At 40.6% G+C, this 22608-nt stretch overlaps 3 annotated features.

Moving 5' to 3' along the window:
* Window positions 4284-5017: an enhancer, noted in NCBI's record as "H3K27ac hESC enhancer chr6:47411751-47412484 (GRCh37/hg19 assembly coordinates)". NCBI's record gives its function as "activates a minimal SCP1, AML or CMV promoter by ChIP-STARR-seq in primed H9 embryonic stem cells {active_cell/tissue: H9 hESC(primed)}" and the evidence as "EXISTENCE:reporter gene assay evidence [ECO:0000049][PMID:30033119]".
* Window positions 7262-7556: a silencer, noted in NCBI's record as "tiled region #15024; HepG2 Repressive non-DNase unmatched - State 24:Quies". NCBI's record gives its function as "represses a minimal TATA promoter and a strong SV40 promoter by Sharpr-MPRA in HepG2 cells {active_cell/tissue: HepG2}" and the evidence as "EXISTENCE:reporter gene assay evidence [ECO:0000049][PMID:27701403]".
* Window positions 13568-13768: a silencer, noted in NCBI's record as "peak5833 fragment used in MPRA reporter construct". NCBI's record gives its function as "represses an SCP1 promoter by STARR-seq MPRAs in K562 erythroleukemia cells {active_cell/tissue: K562}" and the evidence as "EXISTENCE:reporter gene assay evidence [ECO:0000049][PMID:32103011]".

Genomic DNA, 22608 nt, shown 5'->3' on the forward strand with positions numbered 1-22608 from the left:
TTAAAATAATGACAACACTATGTGAAATGTGATTTGTTGTCAAAAAGGTGGATGAACAGTTGATTCTTCAAAATATTCATTATACCCTTTACTATGCCCTAACTCTGTGCGGGACATTGGCAAACACTGGGACTGCAATCTGCAAGGATTCTGTAGGCCCTGCCCTTCTGAAATTTAGTTCCCAGAATATTGTTTCTCTACCATTTTTTCATTATTGCCCCCTAAGAAACATTTTTAGACACTCCTTTCCTAACTGCTCCACCATGGAATTTTGATACCACAGATATCGTGTATATATTTATGTACTGTGTCTATATCCATGCATTATACACAGAAATATCAATGGCTTTTTGCTCCCAAGAATCAACTTTCACTCCCTCAGGGGTAATGTTATCCCTGTTAAAAGTGTATATTCTATGGCAGGGCGTGGTGGCTCATGCCTGTGACCCCAGCACTTTGGGAGGCCGAGGCGGGCAGATCACCTGAGGTCAGGAGTTCGAGACCAGCCTGGCTAACATGGTGAAAACCCGGCTCTACTAAAAGTACAAAAATTAGCCGGGCGTGTTGGCACATGCCAGTAGTCCCAGCTACTCTGGAGGCTGAGGCACAAGAATTGCTTGAACCTGGGATGTGGAGGTTGCAGTGAACCAAGATTGCACCACTGCACTCCAGCCTGGGCAACAGAGTGAGACTCTGTCTCAAAAAAAAAAAAAAAAAAAAAGAAAAGAAAAGAAAAAAAATGTGTATGTTCTAGGAGAAAGAAAGAGAATAGGCAAACACATAAGAAAAGTAACTGTGATGAATAAAATGTAGGAAATAAAAAGGGCTGAAAATTAGGGTACGGTTACTTTGGATAGGGATGTACAACCATACACCTGTAGGTAAGCTCCAGGAAGGATGCCCGTAGCTTCCTGGTCTCATTTTCCCTGGAGCCCAGTTAAAGTCCCCCACCTGAAATTGGAAAGGAAAAAAAAGACTAAATATAATTCACTAGAATACAAATAACTTCTGTCTTCCTGTTATTCAAACAAAGTCACATTAAGCCATGTTCCTCCTTTATACAAGCTCTACACCCTAAACAGCAGAGTTGCCAAAAGCTGGACACTCGAGGAATACAATTTTATTGGTCACGTGTTTCTGTGCAACTCTGAATGGGTCATTGTTTCTTAATAAGGATGTGAGGCTATCAAAGTTAAATTTAGCTCACCATGGTTGTGGTGGAACAAAGCCGATATATTTGCATAATGCTCTCCTACATAGGTGTGTTCCAGCAAAATAGTGAAGGCAGCATAATTGAATGCTGAAAGACAATAAAATGTTCTGGCTAAGAGCACTGGAGTCCAGACCACTGTCCACAAACAGGCAGGTCATTTAACTACTCTCTAAGGCTTAGTTTATCCATATGTAAAATGAGAATATTATACTATTATATTGTTTTTTCTTTTGTTTTTTGTTTTGAGATGGAGTCTCCCTCTGTAGTCCCGGCTGGAGTGCAGTGGCGCAATCTCAGCTCACTGCAACCTCTGCCTCCCAGGTTCCAGTGATTCTCCTGCCTCAGCCTCCTGAGTAGCTGAGATTACAGGCACATGCCACCATGCCCGGCTAATTTTTTGTATTTTTAGTTGAGACAGGCTTTCACCATGTTGGCCAGGCTGGTCTCAAACTCCTGACCTCAGGTGATCTGCCCTCCTCGGGCCCACAAAGTGCTGGGATTACAGGCGTGAACCACCGCACCCAGCCTATATTGGGTTGGGTTTTTGTTTTGGTAGTACTTTCTAGTTGTGCTATTTTTTTTAGGGTAAAAAAGGTTAAAATTTGGTTAAATCAAAGCAGGATCTCTGGTATTTAATCATGAGTAATATTTTGCCTAATATGCCTTTTAATTACACCTGGCTTTCAATTACATTTGTTGATTTTTTTTCTAAATTGATCTGTTATTTTATTTAACCCCTTTTGACTGCTAAGTTACATTTTATAAGTGTAGTTTGTACTACCCTTCATCCAGCACTATGAAATGGTGATTTTTTTTTTTTTTTAGAGTTAGTGAATTAATACTAATAGTTCTGCTAACTTTGGTCCTTCCAAAGACTTATACAATTTGAATCCCATAATGTTTCAAATCCAACTCTCTGTCTCCCCAATTCCTCCCTGAATCTGTATCAGCTTTGAGATGCCTATCTTGGTTATTGGCATTGCCATCCTGATACTTTTTTTTTTTTTTTTTTGAGACCGAGTCTCACTCTATCGCCCAGGCTAGAGTGCAGTGGTGTGATCTCAGCTCACTGCAACCTCCGCCTCCAGGGTTCATGTGATTCCCATGACTCAGCCTCCCGAGTAGTTGGGATTACAAGCACCTGCCATCATGCCCAGCTAATTTTTGTATTTTTAATAGAGACGGGTGGGCGGGGGGGCGCGGGGTTCACCATGTTGGCCAGACTGGCCTCGAACTCCTGACCTCATGGTCCACCGGCTTCAGCCTCCCAAAGTGCCAGGATTACAAGTGTGAGCCACTGTGCCCAGCCTTTTTTTTTTTTTTTTCTGAGATGGAGTCTCACTCTGTTGCCCAGGTTGGAGTACAATGGCACAATCTTGACTCACTGCAACCTCCGCCTCCTGGGTTCAAGTGATCCTCCTGCCTCAGCCTCGCGAGTAGCTGGGATTACAAACATGGACCACCAGGCCTACTAATTTTTGTATTTTTAGCAGAGATGGGGTTTCACCATCTTGGCCAGGATGGTCTCAAACTCCTGGCCTCAAGAGATCCCCCGCCTTGGCCTCTCAAAGTGCCAGGATTATAGTCATGAGCCACCGCACCCAGCACCATCCTGATAATTATCTATGCTAACCCTCAGGGTCATCACGTCTCATGCACAATCCAATTTCTCACCATGTGTACGCAATATTTCTGTCATGTGTTCCTGCCTCTCCATTCCCTTTCCAAAATCTTTCCAAGTATATTTTCTCAAGAGAGGTACTATTCCTAAATACCAAACATACACTCAAGCATAGTATAAGGGATATTTGTCATGTCTGAGGCCACCTAGCATGTTTAAACACCCTTCCTATGTTTGGAGAATTCCGCATATGATGAGCCCTTTCTCAAGGCAGAAGCTAGGACTGGCTCTCTTACCCTATCTTAGTTAGGATATAGCGATCCAGCCAGGGGCAGATTCCAGTTTTGTAGGGGTTTGACCCTAATACAATTTTGGGGCCTTCTTTTTACAAAGCAACAAAATTACAAATTTAAAATTAGGTTTAAAAATTAACTTCACAATTTGAATGAGAAAAAAAAATCAAAACTACAAATTTTAGGAGATAACCAGTACCATGAACACCACAAATCCAGAAAAACAATGTAATTTTTAAATCAATAATTTGCCTAATGTACCTCTTTAATATTTTTCTTCATTATTTTAACTACATTATTTTAACTCTTTGATTATTAATTCACATGACAATGATTTCATAATTTTTCATATTAAAATATTTTTGTAGAGAAGGGATCTCACTAGCTTGCTCAGGCCGGTCTTGAACTGCTGGCCACAAGTGATCCTCACACTTTGGCCTCCTGAAGTGTTCGGATTACAGGCATGAGCCACCACATCCAGATCTGTGATTTTTTTTTTTTTTTTTTTTTTTAGTATTTATTGATCATTCTTGGGTGTTTCTCGGAGAGGGGGATTTGGCAGGGTCATAGGACAACAGTGGAGGGAAGGTCAGCAGATAAACATGTGAACAAGGGTCTCTGGTTTTCCTAGGCAGAGGACCCTGCGGCCTTCCGCAGTGTTTGTGTCCCTGGGTACTTGAGATTAGGGAGTGGTGATGACTCTTAATGAGCATGCTGCCTTCAAGCATCTGTTTAACAAAGCACATCTTGCACCGCCCTTAATCCATTTAACCCTAAGTGGACACAGCACATGCTTCAGAGAGCACAGGGTTGGGGGTAAGGTTATAGATTAACAGCATCCCAAGACAGAATTTTTCTTAGTACAGAACAAAATGGAGTCTCCTATGTCTACTTCTTTCTACAGAGACACAGTAACAATCTGATCTCTCTTTCTTTTCCCCACATTTCCCCCTTTTCTATTCGACAAAACCGTCATCGTCATCATGGCCCTTTCTCAATGAGCTGTTGGGTACACCTCCCAGACAGGGTGGCGGCCGGGCAGAGGGGCTCCTCACTTCCCAGACGGGATGGCCAGGCAGAGGCGCCCCCCACCTCCTGGACGGGGCAGCGGCCGGGCGGGGGCTGCCCCCCACCTCCCTCCCGGACTGGGTGGCTGGCCGGGCAGGGGTTGCCCCCCACCTCCCTCCCGGACGGGCGGCTGGCTGGGGGGGGGGTGCTGCCCTCCACCTCCCGGACGGGGCGGCTGCCCGGCAAGACGCTCCTCACTTCCCAGATGGGGCGGCTGCCAGGCGGAGGGGCTCCTCACTTCTCAGACGGGGCGGCCGGGCAGAGACGCTCCTCACCTCCCAGATGGGGTGGCGGTCGGGCAGAGACACTCCTCAGATCCCAGACGGGGTCGCGGCCGGGCAGAGGCGCTTCTCACATCCCAGACAGGGCGGCGGGGCAGAGGAGCTCCCCACATCTCAGACGATGGGCGGCCTGGGCAACATTGAGCACTGAGTGAGCGAGACTCCGTCTGCAATCCTGGCACCTCGGGAGGCCCAGGCGGGCAGATCACTCGCGGTCAGGAGCTGGAGACCAGCCTGGCCAACACGGCAAAACCGCGTCTCCACCAAAAAATACAAAAACCGGTCAGGCGTGGCGGCACGCGCCTGCAATCCCAGGCACTGGGCAGGCTGAGGCAGGAGAATCAGGCAGGGAGGTTGCAGTGAGCCCAGATGGCGGCAGTACAGTCCAGCCTCGACTCGGCATCAGAGGGAGACCGTGGAAAGTGCGAGATGAGGGAGCGGCATCAGAGGGAGACCGTGGAAAGTGGGGGGAGAGGGAGAGGGAGAGGGAAAGGGAGAGGGAGACCAATTTTTTTTTTATAAAAAGAAAAAAAGTACTTTAGTCTCCTTTGTCCTATCTGGTCAATTGATTTTTTGATTGACAGTTTAGAAAAGTGTCTTTAAGCTTCACAACTGATGATTGATAATATTGTGTAAATTTAGTGAGGTTGACAGAAGTCAGAATTGCAGGTACAATATTTCTACTGCAAATTTTACAAAAACATAGGACAGACATTTATTCCTAGGGCTCTCCCAGGGCCTTGGAAAGGGTCTGCATAAGTACAGGGCCCTGAGGCTTAAGATTCATTAGCTTTGTGATACATCCATATATTAGTCCGTTTTCATGCTGCTCATAAAGACATACCTGAGACTGGATAATTTATAAAGGAAAAAGGTGTAATTGACTCACAGTTCCACATGGCTGGGGAGGCCTCACAATCATGGCGGAAGAGCAAGGGACCATCTTACATGGCGGCAGGCAAGAAAAGAGTTTGTGCAGGGAAACTTGCCCTTATAAAACCATCAGATCTCATGAGACTTACTCACTATCATGAGAACAGCATGGGAAAGACCTACCCCCATGATTCAATTACTTCCCATTGAGTTCCTCCCATGACACATGGGAATTGTTGGAGCAACAATTCAAAGTGAGATTTGGGTGGGGACAGAGCCAAACCATATCAATTCATCTCTGCATCCTCTTAGGCTTTGCCAATCAGACATGATCATAAAGTTTTCACTTCAGAACTGAACAACCCTAGGAAGCAGGAGCCCTTGTCATCTACCATTTCATAAGAATGACAAGAGAGGCACCAGCTCTGCCAGGCACCGGTGGTGAAATTTCTGGTGTTGGGTCTCCAGAGTTATTGGTGGAGGCTGTGGTGTCTGTACCATGCAGGAGCTGTAGCACCCTCTCGCCTTGAGCAGCCCTCAGAGTGTGACATGGGCATGGATGCTGGCCGCAGAGCCTCTGGACCTTACTCTCCAGACCCCTTGCAGATTCAATGAGGTACCAAATATCCTTATTAAATTCACCTTATTTTTCTGCTTAAATTAGTTATTATAGAATAGTTTCTGCTTGCAACCATGAATCCTGACTGCTACATGTGGAAGTGTGTTCTACAGGACTAAGGCAGAGGCTGAGGCATCATCAGCCTACCTGAGATGATGGAATAATTCAAGGATCGGAAAGTGAATCAAAGCAGAATGCATGGGAGAAAACAGGTGACCAAATACCAGAAAAGTAAGGATGAAAGTCAGATACATGGGCCCATTTAAAGGCAGAAGCCAGAGAGCCAAGAATCTTGATTATTGAATGCAGATGAAGGCAGAGGAGGTTCAGAAAAGGCAAAGTGGGGTAGGTCAAGACCCCATTTGGTAGGCCAGCAGTTGGGTGGTGTATATAAGGATTGAGTGGCCTTAAAAAGGAATAGAAGGCCAGGTACAGGGGCCTCACACATGTAATCACTACACTTTGGGAGGCTGGGGCAGGAGGATCACATAAGCCCAGATGTTTGAGACCAGTCTGGGCAACAAAGGGAGACCCCCATCTCTACAAAAAATTTAAACGTTAGCCAGGTGTTTTGATGCACGCTTGTAGTCCCATCTACTTGGGAGGCTGAGGTGGGAGGATCACTTGAGCCTATGAGGTGGAGGCTGCAGTAAGCCATGATCACACCATTGCACTTCAGCCTGGGTGACAGAGAGAAACCTGTCTCTAAAAAAAAATTAATTTAAATTTAAAAAAAGAGGAATAGAAGAAGGCTGGACAGTACTATAACCCAGACTGTCGTTAGCTCTCTCTTGGAACCATAAAAGCCTTCAACATTCTCCCACCTTATTCTCTGCCCTACACAGTATGTTCTTTACACACAAAAAAAGCTATCTGGGGCCATGATCATTGCCCTACTTTTGAGATATCAATTGTGACTCCCCATTGCCTAGAGAACATCACAGAATTCATTAGCCTGGCATTTCTGACCCTCCCTCATCTAGGTCAATCCATTTATCCAACATATTCCTCATTAACTTTCTCATACTATATGCTAGAGCTGCACTAAACTATTTGGTATTTCCTAGACATGCATTTCATTTTCCCACAAGCATGCTGTTCTTTCTGCCTGGGATGCTCTCCCTGTCACATTTCAGCACATCCAAATCACTCTATTTTCCAAAGCCCAGCTCAAATGTCACATTTCTTCTTCAGCAGCAGTATTTCCTCCCGGAAGCACATTAATTCTCATGTTAATTTTGCTTTCCATATTGCATTACATTTATTCAGGCACATATTTTTATTTCCTCTAAGAACCCAGAAACTCACTTTGAACAGAATCTTGGCACAGTGACTTGTATACTATACTTGCTCAAAATAGTGTTGAACAAAGGGTTGAATGAAACAATTCTTGACACATAATTTCTTGTAGAACCTAAAGTAGTTGACAGTGACCTATGGTGTGGTAAGAAAAGTACAGGCTTTGATCTCAGACACGTGGGAGCTGGAGTCACAACTTGTGCTGGCTGATGAATCTTCTGACACGTTGCTTAATCACAAAGAGGCATTGGTTAGTAAGAGATAATAATCCTTATAGCATACTATTATTTTGAGAATTAAGTAAGGTTCTAGAAGGTAACTTACAATTCCTGATACAAAAGAGATGCTAACTGAATGTTAGTGATTTTTTTCTCCCTTAGTCTTCTCCTAGCCTTAATATCTCTAATTCCATCTATTGTTTCTTACAGGACAGTTTTTTAGTCTGCTCATCAACATCATTTTATCCGCATTGTTCTCAAAAATCTGAACATTAAGACAACTCAAGTGTGACCTGACCAGTTCACAGAACGCTGAGAATATTACTTAGTACAATCTCATCACAATACTTCTATTTTGCAATACAAGATAGCCATATTATACTTTGCTTATATTAAGTTTGTAACTATCTAAAATCTCCAAGTTTTTTAGAGCAATCTACTTCCAGATAACATGTCTATTTTATACATAAATCTAAATGCACATAATTCTTCTGATCTCTGTTAAGTTTCAACTAATTTATTTAAGCCCATAATTTTATTTTACCCAAATCCCTTTCGGTATTGATTTTAATAATCTTTAAAGAGGTGTAGGGGGGAAGATGATGGGAGGGACACTAAGTAATAACTTGAGACATTTGCCTTACTCTTACTTAATTGCAAAATAAACAGCTCCCATGGTGATCTGTAGTGCAGGCCAACATTTGTGTCTATGTGGAGGAAAAAGGATGACTTTTGCACTTTGCCTCTGCCAATAATAGCCACATGAGTAATTAAACTTCAACAAACTTAGTAATTAAATAATAGAAATTTTTTTTAGAGATCACCTTGGGGAAAAGAAAATGAGAAAAATGATGTTTCTTTAATGTCTCAAAACAGAAACAATTATCTTATTTTTTAATTGAATATTGTACTATTCCACCAAAAACTCTGATTAGCAACCCTTGCTCTACTGCAAAAATCTAGTTTAAGTTTCTCAGATTGTATGCAGATAGAATTATATTTTTCTTAATAAACATGTGAAATAAGCAAAGCAATCTAAATTTAAAAATGTACCGAGGGTCTTCTCAATAACTTTTCCATATGGTAGCCATGAGTGATGTTTTTCTTGTTAGAAATTTATGGGAAATATTCTTGGGAGCCTATTTTTCCTTATGAAATGGGCTGAATGTTTGTGTTCTCCCCAAATTTATATACTGAAACAGAGATCCTGATGTGCTTGAGGTGGGGCCTTTGAGAGGTAATTAGATCATAAAGGTAGAGCCCTTATAAATGGCATTAGTGCCCTTATAAGAAGAAACCAGAAAGTTAGTTACCTCTCTGTCTGCCATGTGAAGGCATAGCAAGAAGATGACCCTCTGTAAACCAGGAAAAGGGCCCTCACCAAGAACTCAACCACAATACCACCCTGAACTCAGCCTCTACAACTGTGAGAAATTATTGTTTAAGCCACCCAATGTATGGTAATCTGTAGCAGTCTAAACTGACTAAGAAATATCAATGTAAAGCCTACAAACATCAAATATAAGTTTATTTTATTTATTTATTTATTTTTAATAAACTGTTTATAGAGACAGGGTCTCACTATGTTGCCCAGGCTAGTCTTGAACACCTGGCCTCAAGCAATCCTCCTGCCTCAGCCTCCCAAAGTGTTGGGATTACAGACATGAGCCACCATGCCCAGCCAAAATATAACTTTAAAGGGAGAGAGATGAAGTAATAAAGAGAAACTTTTGAAACACAAAATTTCTCTTAAAGTAAAATAATTGCTGGGCATGGTGGCTCACGCCTGTAATCCCAACACTTTAGGAGGCTGAGGAGAGCGGATCACCTGAGGTTGGGAGTTTGAGACCAGTCTGACCAACATGGAGAAACCCTATCTTTGCTAAAAATACAAAATTAGCCAGGCATGGTGGCACATGCCTGTAATCCCAGCTATTCGGGAGGCTGAGGCAGGAGAATCGCTTGAACCCAGGAGGCGGAGGTTGCGGTGAGCCGAGATCGCACCATTGCACTCCAGCCTAGGCAACAAGAGTGAAACTCCATCTCAAAATAATAATAATAATTTTAGTAGAGTGAAGAAGAAAATTCTAATAAAAGGGTCTAATAAAAAATTGTGTTTTAGGCCCAGTACAGTGGCTTACACCTGTAATGCCAGTACTTTGGGAGGCCAAAGTGGGCAGATCACTTGAGGTCAGGAGTTTGGGACCGGCCTGGCCAACATGGTGAAACCTCATCTCTACTAAAAATACAAAAATTAGCTGAGCATGGCAGCGCATGCTTGCAGTCCCAGCCACCCGGGAGGCTGGGGCAGGAGAATCACTTGAACCCTGGGGGTTGCAGTGAGCCGAGACTGTGCCACTGCACTCCAGCCTGGGTGACAGAGAGGGACTCCATCTCAAAAAAAAAAAAAAAAAAAAAAAATATATATATATATATATATGGAAACTCTTCACATACTTGGGGGAAAGAACATGAGACTAAAGGCTAAATCAAATATAATATAGTAAGAATATTATGGGATTCTTCTAGTCTGGTGCCAATTTTTCTTTTCCATTAAGGCCTATATAGGCCTTTTAATTTATACCTAAAAATATTTTTTAAAAATTCTAACTTGAGGTCCAAACAAAACAAATGACGCATCAAATCAGTCTTGAGATTTCAGTGCCAATGCAGTTAGAAGCTAGAGAAGGTAGAGAGAGTGAAATTGGGAGACAAGTCATTTATCTACTATTCATGTAAAACTCAGAAAATCATATTTTCCCATCTATAGTTGGAAATTCAGTTACTTTCTACAAATAGGAAAGATGTTTAAGATAATTAAAACTAACAAATGTTACAATTTTTATTAGTTTGCTGAATGCTTTTATATTTATTATATATAGTCCTCAGACATAGACAACAGATCATGTAAAATATAATTAAGCTTTTTCTAAATCAGCCAAGATTGTCATTGTCATAATTTGGTATTGTATCATAAATAAAGTCTATTGTAGCCATCAGGCTGAAATGGAATTTGAGTTCTGAGATATTTCCTTTTATAAACCTTTTATCTTTGCTGCTTTATTTTAGAATACATATCTTTAAAGCTTACTAAGAAGGGTCTTTACCAGGGTAAACCATGAATTTGCCAATATTTAATCATTTTAACCTATAAAATATGAATTCCTCCTGGTTTAACCTAACACAATCAAAGATTGAGTCAAAAGCTGAAGAACTTTTTCATCAACTGTCTTTGCCAATACCCTTTGACATTTACAGAACCCTTACTGTATTCAATGGTATGAAATGTAGGACATGCTGAACCATGTTTCTCCCTCCCTACATTCAGCCAAATGATTCCTTCTTTCCTTAATTCATACTTGCCTGGAGCTCATGCTCTTGTTTTCCATTACCACTATAAAGAGATAATGGAGCTATGCCTCTCATAGAATGTCATCCTTCCCCGCTGGCTTCTCTGGCAATACAACTTGTAAAATCCCCTATCTCTGATTTACTGTTATCAAAATTCCACCTGTTGCTTTGTTTTGAGTTAACATTTAGTACATTGTGAGAAAAAATAGTTGGAATTTTGAATCATTGCATTTTAGAGGTAGAAGTAATCTTAGCAATCGCTTAGGCCAGCCCTCCTATGGTAGTTGTTGCCAGCTGCTGATTCCCTCTGCCAGCCTCATTTTCACCCAGTCCTCCCTGATGCTGCCAATGTACTTTGGGGATGGACCTGACTTAGCAGTGGAGGTTATCTCATTGACTCAGAAACCCAAGTCTAAGTTAATTAGCACAGCCAAGTCTGTGTCATTAGGGTGGCTATTATAGGCTGAATTGGGTCCTCCCAAAATTCATTTGTTAATGTCCTGACCCCTAGAATCTCAGAATGTGACCATATTTGGGGAGAGGGTCTTTAAATAGGTTTTTAGGTTAAAATGAGGTCATCTGGGTGGGTCCTATTCAAATATCACTGGTGTCCTTATGAGAAAAAGAGATTAGGACTCAGATAAACTCTGAGGGAAGACCATGTGAGGGCACAGGGAGGAGAAGATGGCAAGATGGCCATTTACAAGTCAAGGAGAGAGGCCTCAGAAGAAACCAGCCCTGTTCACACTTTGATATCCATCTTTTACCTTACAGCACTGTGGGAAAACAACCTTCTGTTGTTTAAGTCACCAATCTGTGGTACTTTATTATGACGGCAGCACTAGCAAACTAATACGATGGGACTGGGCATTGGAATAAGACCCATTTGGGCCATTATGTGATCCAATGAGTCTTCTGAGTTATTTAGGCCAGTTAGGGCCAAGTTTTCTGTTACTTACAGTCTCTGTTGTATGTGATGTTACCAACCTCTTCCTTTTACACAGAGAAGCTGAGGCTTCTTCAAATTTAAACATAGATTACAGAATTTGAAATAATTATCTTTCCTCAAAGATTGAGGCTATATGCATAATTGGTAGAAATAGTACAGTCATCTGTTGGTATCTGTGGGAGACTGGTTCTGGAACTCACCCTTCCACCCCACCCCACCCCAGAGGACACCAAAACTCAAGTCCTTTGTATTAAATGATGTAGTAATTGCATATAATCTGTGCACATCCTCCTGTATAAATCATCTCTATTAAGTGTATTACCTAATACAATGCCTACACATCACTTCATTTATGTGGAGTCAACAGAGTCCTCAGAGCATGGCAAATTCAAGCTTTGCTTTTTGGAACTTTGCAGAATTATTTTTCCCTAATGTTTTCTTTTCTTTTTTTTTTTTTTGTTTTTGAGATGGAGTTTCGCTCTTGTTGCCCAGGCTTGAGTGTAATGGCGCAGTCTTGGCTCACTGCAATCTCTGCCTCCCAGGTTCAAGTGATTCTTCTGCCTCAGCCTCCTAAGTAGCTGGGATTACAGGCTCCTGCCACCATGTCCAGCTAATTTTTGTGTTTTTAGTAGAGAAAGGGTTTCACCATGTTGTCTAGGCTTGTCTCAAACTCCCGACCTCAGGTGATACACCCGCCTTGGCCTCCCAAAGTGCTGGGATTATAAGCATGAGCCACGGTGCCCAGCCTTCCCTAATATTTTCAATTCACAGTTGGTTGAATCCACAGATGCAGAAGCCACAGATACAGAGGACTGACCATCCAGGTAAACAGTTTCATGACTAGAATGAAGAAAACATTCACTCTTATCTCTGATCAATCCAGAGAGGCTAAAGTGAGGAGAATTCGAAGTATTGGGAGAGAAAAAATCTGAAAATTAGCTCCTTGTGTCAGTAAGTCAATACTAGTATCCCCTTTTCCAGTTTTATCTTTAGCCTCCTTAGCAGAGGCTTGCCCTATCCAGTATTTAGCCCTGCTATTTCTTTCATTACCTACTGCTTACAGGTCTCAAGACTTCTGTGCTGTTTCATACATTCTTGCACCTGGGAGTAGCCCATGTGCACTTCTGTCCAGATTTGAATGCCGCAGTTTTTATATTCATACTCTTCCATCACCAGTAATAGATAATTACATTTTCAAAGCAGCTTCCACATTTTAAGTGCTTAAGACATGTTTTATGAGAACATAGACTGTGCTGCTCCTCTATATAGAAAATTCATATTCATCATTTGGTGAAGTGGGAATTTTACCACGGTTAGCCACTTTAAACTTCTTGACAGCTTCAAACCACTGTATCCCATTTACATTAACATTTTGTTCTAGAAAGTGGAAAAAGTTACATTGAGATATTCTCATTTCATACATTCTGAAGCATGCTTCGTGAATGAATTCTTTCTTCGAAATCTTGGCAAGCTAAATTATGAGTAGAGATTGTCAAATTTAAGTGTTGTTTTTAAAAAACATGCTATGAGTATAATGAGAGCAGAGAAATCTTCCCAGAGCCTCAAACTGTGCCTGGCATGTAACACATGACAAATAAATACTCACTGAGTAAATATTTATTGAATGAATGACTGAGATAGAATTTGTGATATATTTATGCATTGCAAGTTGCTGAATAATTTTATCTTAAAAGTTACCTCTTAGGCCCATTTACTGTTGAACCTTCAAAATTTCAAATTGATATATATGATAGCAAATGATAAGCTGTGCTGTCAAAGTTGGTGGTTTGCGTATGGGATGTTATCATTTGACTTACCAGTTAGTGACAGAGTTGGACAGATAGTAAGACTGCCCTCATTCTGGATATTATGCCATGGTGTTTTGGGATACCATGATGCAAGGAACCTATAGAAAGTATCATTTTCTTCCTGAGGATGGGAGGAGCAATTAGTGCTACAGTTTATCTAAATTGCTACAGAAGTCTTCTTTCACATGGACACATCACTTTCTGGACACCCTTCCATATGTTGTGACTCAAATCAATAAAATCAATAGCAGTTTTACAGCTGGCTTGTAAAATGTCAAACCTGTGACTTCTGAAGTTTTCCAAGTTTTCTGTGGAGCCACACTGTTGAGTACTCTTTTTTTTTTTTTTGAGACAGGGTCTTGCTCTGTGGCCCAGGCTGGAGTACAGTGGCAGCATTACAGCTTGCTGCAGCCTCGACCTCCCAGGTCCAAGTGATCCTCCCACTTCAGCCTCCTGAGTAGCTGGGACTACAGAAGTGTGCTACCACACCCAGCTAATGCTTGTATTTTTTTCTAGAGATACGGTCTCACTATGTTGCCCAGGCTGGTCTTGAACTTCCGGGTTCAAGTAATCCCCCTGCCTCAGCCTCCCAAAGTGTTGGGATTACAGGCGTGAGCCACTGCACCTAGCTGAATACATATTTAAGTGAAAGTGAAAAATCTGTATACTTCTGTGTTAGAAAAACCTTTAGAACCTTTGAAGTTTTTTTTTTTTTTTTTTTTTTTAATAAATTAAGCATAGTCAAAATCCTGGTACTATTTTTGTTTGGATTGCTTTTATTCTTCTCATGATTTAGGTTTGGTTTTATTGTTTGTTTGTTTGTTTGAGATAGGGTCTCACTCTATCGCCCAGGTTGGAGTGCAGTAGTACAATCTTGGCTCACTGCAACCTCCACCTCCTGGGTTCAAGCTATTCTCCTGCCTCAGCCTCCCAAGTAGCAGGGATTACAGGCATGGGCCACCACACCCTCTGATTTTTGTATTTTTAGTAGAGATGGGGTTTTATTATGTCAGCCAGGCTGGTCTTGAACTCCTGGCCTCAATCGATCCACCTGCCTCGGCCTCCCAAAGTGCTGGGATTACAGGCGTGAGCCACCAAGCCCGGCCATGAATTAGTTCTTTGTTGTCGTTGCTTGAATGGCTTTAAAACTTGAATCATTTCGGGGTTTAATTTGCTTACTACCTTAAAGATACAATTGGCATTACATCTAAATATATGGCCATTCCTTCATTATGGTCAAGACCTTGAAATCAGAAAAAATTATCATTTTATTTGCGTCAATTTACTTGATCATTCTTACTTTTCTAGAAACCATAGTCTGTAACTGGATATGAATATTCTAGACACTGCAGTTCTGAATTTCTGAATTATGGGCTTAAAATTCTAAAAATTCAGCACCCCAACCTTCAAAGTTAGCCAAGAGTAGTCACTGGTGTACGGGTTGATTTTATATTTTAATAGTACTCAATGTCTTTTTATGCTAGAAACAAAAGAATTCTTTTGAAAAGGATTGACACCTTGATCAAAAACTGAAAATGAAAATGCATTCAAGTTTCATTCAACAACATCCGTGCTTCTTTGCCCCAGCCCAGTTTTCTTGACCTACTTGTGTGTATCCAGTGCCACTTTCGCACAAAGATTTAAAGACTGATTAAGAAGAACTTGTCCTCTTTTTAAAGTGTAACTAGCAAGGATTCAACAGTATGTCACAGGTGGGCACAGTGGTTCATTCCTGTAATCCCAGTACTTTTGGAGGCTGTGTTGGGAGAATCACTTGAGGCCAGGAGTTCAAGATAAGTGTGGGCAACATAGCGAAACTCCCGTCTCTACAAAAGAATATTTTTTAAAAAACTAGCCTGTTGTGGTGGTGCGCACCTATAGTCCTGAAGTGTATCATGTGGCAGCTGACCCATATTTTTCTCTTGCACCTCAGTGTTCACATAACAAAGTGAATTTATTCTCACAGCCAAGTTTTACTAACTGCAACTGTGAAAGGAAAGGTTCCTTTTTGATTTACATGTTTTAAGAACTATAGTCATTGAACCATTTCCATATTAAATTGCATGGTAAGCAAGGCATCTTCAGTTTTAGACCATGAAGAAGACGCTGACAAATTACTATGTATTTCCATTGTTTCCCTGGGGCAACAGTTTCTGATCCAACCACTATTGTCACTTGGGATCTCTGAGCTCTAAGAAGTTAAATGAGACTAGAACAGTGTCAGTGGGATTTTGATACAAACAAGAAGCCATCACATATTTCGGAAAGTGCACATAAACTTTCCCGTAGATTCTGGGAAACTTCCCTCCAGGATCATTAAAAAAAATTCATCTCCAAGATTTTTTAAAAATCTCTTCATTTGTTGTCTCCCTATCACTTACAGATTTGGGATTTAGTTGACATGCCAGAGGCAGCCTGCCAAATCTTGTGACTCAGACATATGACACTTCTGCTGGGAGTACAGACAGGTGGATACAGACCTGACCTATTTGCTAACTTTGTTCTGGGATTTCAACTATAGCACCCATCTAGTTGTTGGAAAATGATGCCATTTGCATCTTTTACACAAATGTTTGTGGATTCAAGGTACATTTGAAAAAGGAAAGAGAACAAACCTCAAATCAAATAAGCTGTGTGATGGCCACCTGAAACTGAAAAATTTGCTTTAGGGGTGATCTGAGTCAGTGTTCTCCCCGCACTGTGCCTCAGAACCACCTGGAGGGCTCCTACGACATACAGGTATGGGAGCCCCATTCCTAAAGATTCTGAATCATGGACCCAAACATTTCCTTTCTAGGAGGGCAGCATAAGATATTTTACATTTCATCTGATGACTTTTTTATATATTGTTTTAATTGTTCATGTTTGTAAATTATCATTTTTATAATTTGAAAAGCATTTGTCCTCAATGTGGTCTTTCCTAACCACACCATACTTGCCAGTAGTTATAGTTTTATTATGGATACCCAAAATGCCTGCCACACCAAAACAAATCAATGTACAGTTTTAAATACATTGAACTGGTATGATAAACTTGATAAAAATGAATTTGAAAGCCTTGCTCTGCTGTTGTAAAAATTTAGGCAAGTTCTGTAACCTCTCTGAGCCTCAGATTCAATTGTGAAATGGGGACTTTAAGAATGTACTTACTTTTTGAGATTGGGCGAAAATTAAATTATACGATCCATGTCAGTTTTATATAGTGGGTATTCAAAAATGGTTTTTAGTCATCAGCTACCCTAATCCCTCTTCCTGGACTAACAATATGAGGTCATTTACAACATGTTGAATTCATTTACTTACATCATTTTCACGTAAATATGTGGGTTTCTTCATTACAAATGTAAAAAATATATGTACACTTTTTGAACAGAGTATAGCAGTCTGAACCCTAAGGCAAATAGGAATTATATTACACAGGATTTTTTCTAGTTAACAAATGTTCTCTGATTTTTTTTCTGCTAGCTTTTCCTTATCACCTGCTGTTTCTATACCCATCTTTATTCACTGGTGTTTATTTATATATAACCACAGCTTTCACAGCTTCACAAAACTCAAATAACGTTTCAGTGGGTTGTGTGTTTAGAAAGGAGACAGATGGATTTGGGATAATCATGAGTCTTTGTTGTTGTTAATGATACCATTTCAGGCCTGCTAGAAACATATACAGTCCAGCGACAGAAATGAAACAAGGAAACAGATAAGTTAGACTAATATAATATGTGCCATGGTTTTGGTACTTTATAATTTTCCTGTATACTCTGCCTCATTAAAAAAAGTTAACATTGTTACTTAGCATTCTCCCAACCAGGCATGGTAGCTCATAGCTGTAATCCCAGCACTCTGAGAGGCCAAGGCAGGAGGATCACTTGAGACCAGGAGTTTGAGACCAGCCTCAGCAACATAGTGAGACCTTGTCTCTAGGAAAAAAAAAAAAAAGTACATTTAGTACAATAAAATAAAAATTTTTAAAAAGCATTCTCCCGCCAGCTCTGGAGAGAGTCTTGGAGTTCCTTGGGGGTTGACCAGCAGCATCCAGCATCACCTAGAAACTTAGAGATCCAGAATCTCAGCTGCCTTCTCCCCAGCTGCCAAATCAAAATTTGCATTTAAATAACATGCCTGGCCTAGCACCAAGGCTCACACCTGTAATCCTAGCACTTCCTTTAGGAGGCCAGGGTTGGACAATCACTTGACACCAAGAGTTCGAGATCAGCCTGGGCAACACAGTGAGACCCCGTCTCTAAAATGTGTGTGTGTGTGTGTGTGTGAGTGTGTGTGTGTGTAAAATATTAACAGGTGGTTTGGATGAACTACACAGTTTGAGAAGCTCTGACCTAGGGAAGAGTTAAGTCTTTGACTTAGCAGGTACAAAAGATGACTGACTCTCTTGAGATGTCTTTTAATTTAATTGTGGCTGTATTCAACCACAACACTTAGAATAAGTTTATACAACATCTTCTTGATGATGCACAATGCTAGCTGCCTTTTTGTTGCCTTTGGAAACACTGCAATGCATTCATTGGAATGACAGTAGGCAGAAGTATTTTCTCTTTACCACACTTGTTTCAAGAAATTGAGGCTTTATTGCTCTGAAAACCTCTAAATTCTATGCAAAACTGTGAAATGTTTCTGAACCAGTAATACAGGAGAACAGATTGTTAAAGGATCTACTTCCATTTCTATTTATTTAAAAGTTTATAGGATTGGGTTAATGGAACTCAGATGAGTTTATTCATTACTCTGTCACTTGGTTTATCACTCAGCTAAGACCTACTAGCTGCTATAAGTTTTTGATCAATATACAGCTTTAGATCATTTTTAGTTATATATTGTTAAATTTATACTCATCATGGGTTGTTTGTTAAAAACCTAGAAACTGGAGAAACACTAATGGCAAAGAACAAGATATCAGTGAGAACCATTAATATGATACTTCTCTAAGCTGATTTCAGACTGATCCTCTCTATATCCATAAGATGCAGTTACCAAAGCGAACTCTTAAAAAACAGATCCAAAGGTATTGATTGATTCAAAAATCAAAGTTAAACATAGAACTATCATAAGGATTATGGCCACCATGGCTATTCATACATTAGACACCTCTACTTACACAATGTGTCATTTGCAGGGAGGTGCTTACAACTTCTGCGATCACATCATTAATAAACAAAACACAAATTAAAACAGAACAGTTGATTTTCCCTTAGTGGAAAATGTAAAATTCCAAAAACCAATTTATGAAATCATTTATTAATTTTTTATTCTATAACAGTTAAATTTTATCTACATTTTCTCCTTAAATGCTTCTGAAAAATAAGCATGATATAGCTTCTAAAATTTGTTGATAAGCTTTCTTTCATAAATAAAGTAATCTAATAATGTATCTCTCATTAAATGAGAAAAGAGCAAAAATGTGTTTATATGTGATGACCACAGTTAAGGTATACATAAGAGTTTTCTAATACAATATTAAATACTATGCCAACTTAAAATAAAACATTTTAACTTAAAACATCTTCTTTAGTATTTCATTTTTATTTTATCTACAGAGCTGTGGTTAACGGGTCTCAGATGTACCTCTTTATTATTCTGTCACTGGTTTACTCTGTCTCTGTCCCTCAGCCGAGACCAACTTTTATTACATTGTGTCTGAGTAAAGCAAAAAACTACATGCTAGTGTCAGAGAAATGATAACTTCTGTGTAACTGCCTTAGTGTGTGTAACATTTAAGGCAAAGACACCTACAGGTTTTATGAACCCTGATTCAAAAAGGGTTACTTCGCACACTTACAGGTACTTACTATGTGTCAGACATTGTCCTAAGACTTAAAAAAAAATCAATATATTTGAATCTCAAAAGAATCCTATAAGATATGAGGTCATGTTATAAATGAGGAAACCAAGGCACAGAGAGGTCAAGTAACTTGACCAAGGTCACAGAGGCAATAAATGGCATAAGTGCCACAGAAAGTGGCAATAAGTCACTCCTCATGATTACAGTATTCTACTGTATAGCTCTGCTAACCAAATCCAGTGCTCAAACCCCCTCCCAAGACATTTTAATATGTCTCCCTATGTCACCAGTGTCTCATGCTTCAAAAATAATTTTATTTTCCCTCTATTTCATTAACATTCTTTAGTGCATTTATTTCAGTTATTAGGAAAAAAAAGAAATCTAATTTAAACTAATTCATACCAAGAGGCATTAAATTGTGGATAGATTCTGGCTTGACATAGTCATTGCACAGGTTTTCAACTTGAAAGGAGAACAATTGCTATTTTAAAGGAATGAATCTCAATTGTAGTGGTTTTCAAAATTCAAGACAGTCAACTTTCAGAGTCCAGCAGGAGGCTTATCCCCAAAATCCAGCCTCAAATACACAAAGTTCTGCTTTTCTATGTGATGGCTGTGCATAAAATTTCATTTGGGAAAATAAAAGGGACTCTGCTGCCTCAAATAACAGTAAATTGAACCACTCCTCTAATCCACTAGTCCAGTGAACTTTCTGGCTCTTCTTTCCCTCACCTCCATCAGACACATTTCATGCGCTCCCCCGACCCCCACCCTTGATAAAGAAGCACTTAGAGGCTCACAGAACAGCGCAGAATATCTCTGCGTTCAAAGAACTTCAGGAGGGATCCAGAAAGTACTTTTGAGTAGATGCATTGAGCCTCTCAGTAATGTGAAAGCAGGCTGCAGAGATCACCATCCCAGCAACAGGATTATTCTGTTTGATATCTGTTGCCAACAGCCACATTTCCCAGCATCTTGGATGCAAAAGGGGGTTTACTGACAAAGCAAAGCTTTTACATTGGGCCTTACAGGCACAGGAAAATCACCAGCTACCTCAATGCACAGTCCCACGGTAGCATTCCTCCGGTCACTCTTAGAAAAGGCCCAAGTCATCTGGGCGCCTGGACTCACCCGCCCCAAGCAGGTGGCCCTTCTCCTGGTTCCCCTAGTTCTTCCTGGTAAATGGCAGAAATTGTATCTGACGCAATGTGCGCAACTTTGTCCTTTGCTGGATTCAGGTTTCTGGTCATGGGTCAGATCACTCAGTGCCTGAAGCAATTTCTTCCTCCACACCCAATGAATGCTTCAGGGAATCATGCAGGGATAGGTAGATTTCTTTAGGTACATATTTGTATTAATGAGAGCAGCTGGGAGCTGTCTTCCTGGTTCTAGTCAATGATTAACTTTTGAAGGCAGCCTCTTTGTGTGTGTGTGGTGTGTGTGTGTGAGAGAAAGGACTTGTTTTAAGTGTTCCCACACAAAGTTATACATCTGTTTTTCTAATCAATGAATGACCTAACTACAAAGAGTTGAAGCTACCATTGAGCCAATAGTAAAGAATAAAATCCTACCGGCTGGGCGCAGTGGCTCACGCCTGTAATCCCAGCACTTTGGGAGGCCGAGGCAGGTGGATCATCTGAGGTCAGGAGTTCGAGACCAGCCTGACCAACATGGTGAAACCCCCATCTCTACTAAAAATACAAAATTAGCCGGGCATGGTGATGCACACCTATAGTCCCAGCTACTGGGGAGGCTGAGGCAGGGGAATCCCTTGAACCCAGGAGGCGGAGTTTGCAGTGAGCTGAGATTGTGCCACTGCACTCCAGCCTGGGCATCAAGAGCGAAACTGTGTCTCAAACAAACAAACAAACAAACAAACAAAAAGAAAAAAATCCTACCCTCCCAGAAATCTCTTATTGCCATAGAAATCACCAGATGTTTACCAGGATGCTGCACTGTGGTCACCTAGGGGCTGAATACACTGTTTTCTACCTATTCCTTCAGCCTCTGGGAATCCACAGGCCAATTCAATGACATATGCTCAGAGGGGTCAATGATACAATTGCAGTTAGAGCCGTATTCACAATACATTTCTCAGAGAGAAAGCCTCAGTTCATTTCTACTCATTTCTTACTGAGAATTTTCACTTTATACTTCTATGAGAGAGACATTAGTATACATGTTGGCCTGTGGTAAGGCATATTTAGCTGTATATTTAATAAAGGTTCCAAATGTGTTTGGTGATTATTAAACACATGTGCTCAGCAGCATTGCTGCTCTCTTAAATTTCAGTTCCTCATTTCATCTGACTGCTCAGACTCTGCTATTTGAGAGACAATCTCCAACTTTTTTTTTTTTTTTTTTTATGATGGAGTCTTGCTCTGTCACCCAGGCTGGAGTGCAGTGGCGCGATCTCAGTTCACTGAAAGCTCTGACTCCTGGGTTCACACCATTCTCCCGCCTCAGCCTCCCGAGTAGCTGGGACTACAGGCACCTGCCACCACGCCCGGCTGATTTTGTTTTTGTATTTTTAGTAGAGACGGGGTTTCACTGTGTTAGCCAGGATGGTCTCGATCTCCTGACCTTGTGATCCGCCTGCCTCAGCCTCCCAAAATGCTGGGATTACAGGCGTGAGCCACCATGTCTAGCCAACTATTAACCCAAACTCTGCATAAATCAATTCAGTATCTTCCCCAGACAAAACAGTACTTTCTCTGGATTCCCCATTTCTGTCCACATTTCTTTAAATAAATCCTTTTTCTAGGCTCTCAGAATTGCATTATATTTCATTTACTTCTAAAATATTTTCAGTGTAACAGGTTTGATTTTACAAGACTATCCTAGACAACTGTTCCCCTTTTGGCATCATGCCTGCATCCTTGCAAGTGTCAATGGTGGAACTGGGCTTCCTGGCTTCAGGAGTTCAGTCCAAGTGATTAGCCTTATATAAGTGATGGGTAATTGAACGTAAGAATTTATTGCAAAAGTCAGCCTTGTGTGTATCTATTAGTTAATTAGTCACACTAAACTATGAGTGAAAAAGTAGCAAATCAGGGCAAAATGCAGATAAAGAAAAAAATCCAAGTAACAGTAGAGATTATTTTTTAACTGATAAATGATAACAATAAAATAAAACTGAATTTCAGTAATTATCAATTACTGATTCACCTAACTATGATCTTCCTCAAGTGAACCAAATAGAAAACACACTTACTTCA

Source organism: Homo sapiens, chromosome 6, assembly GCF_000001405.40.
Source record: "Homo sapiens chromosome 6, GRCh38.p14 Primary Assembly".
In the NCBI taxonomy this organism is placed as follows: Eukaryota; Metazoa; Chordata; class Mammalia; order Primates; family Hominidae; genus Homo; species Homo sapiens.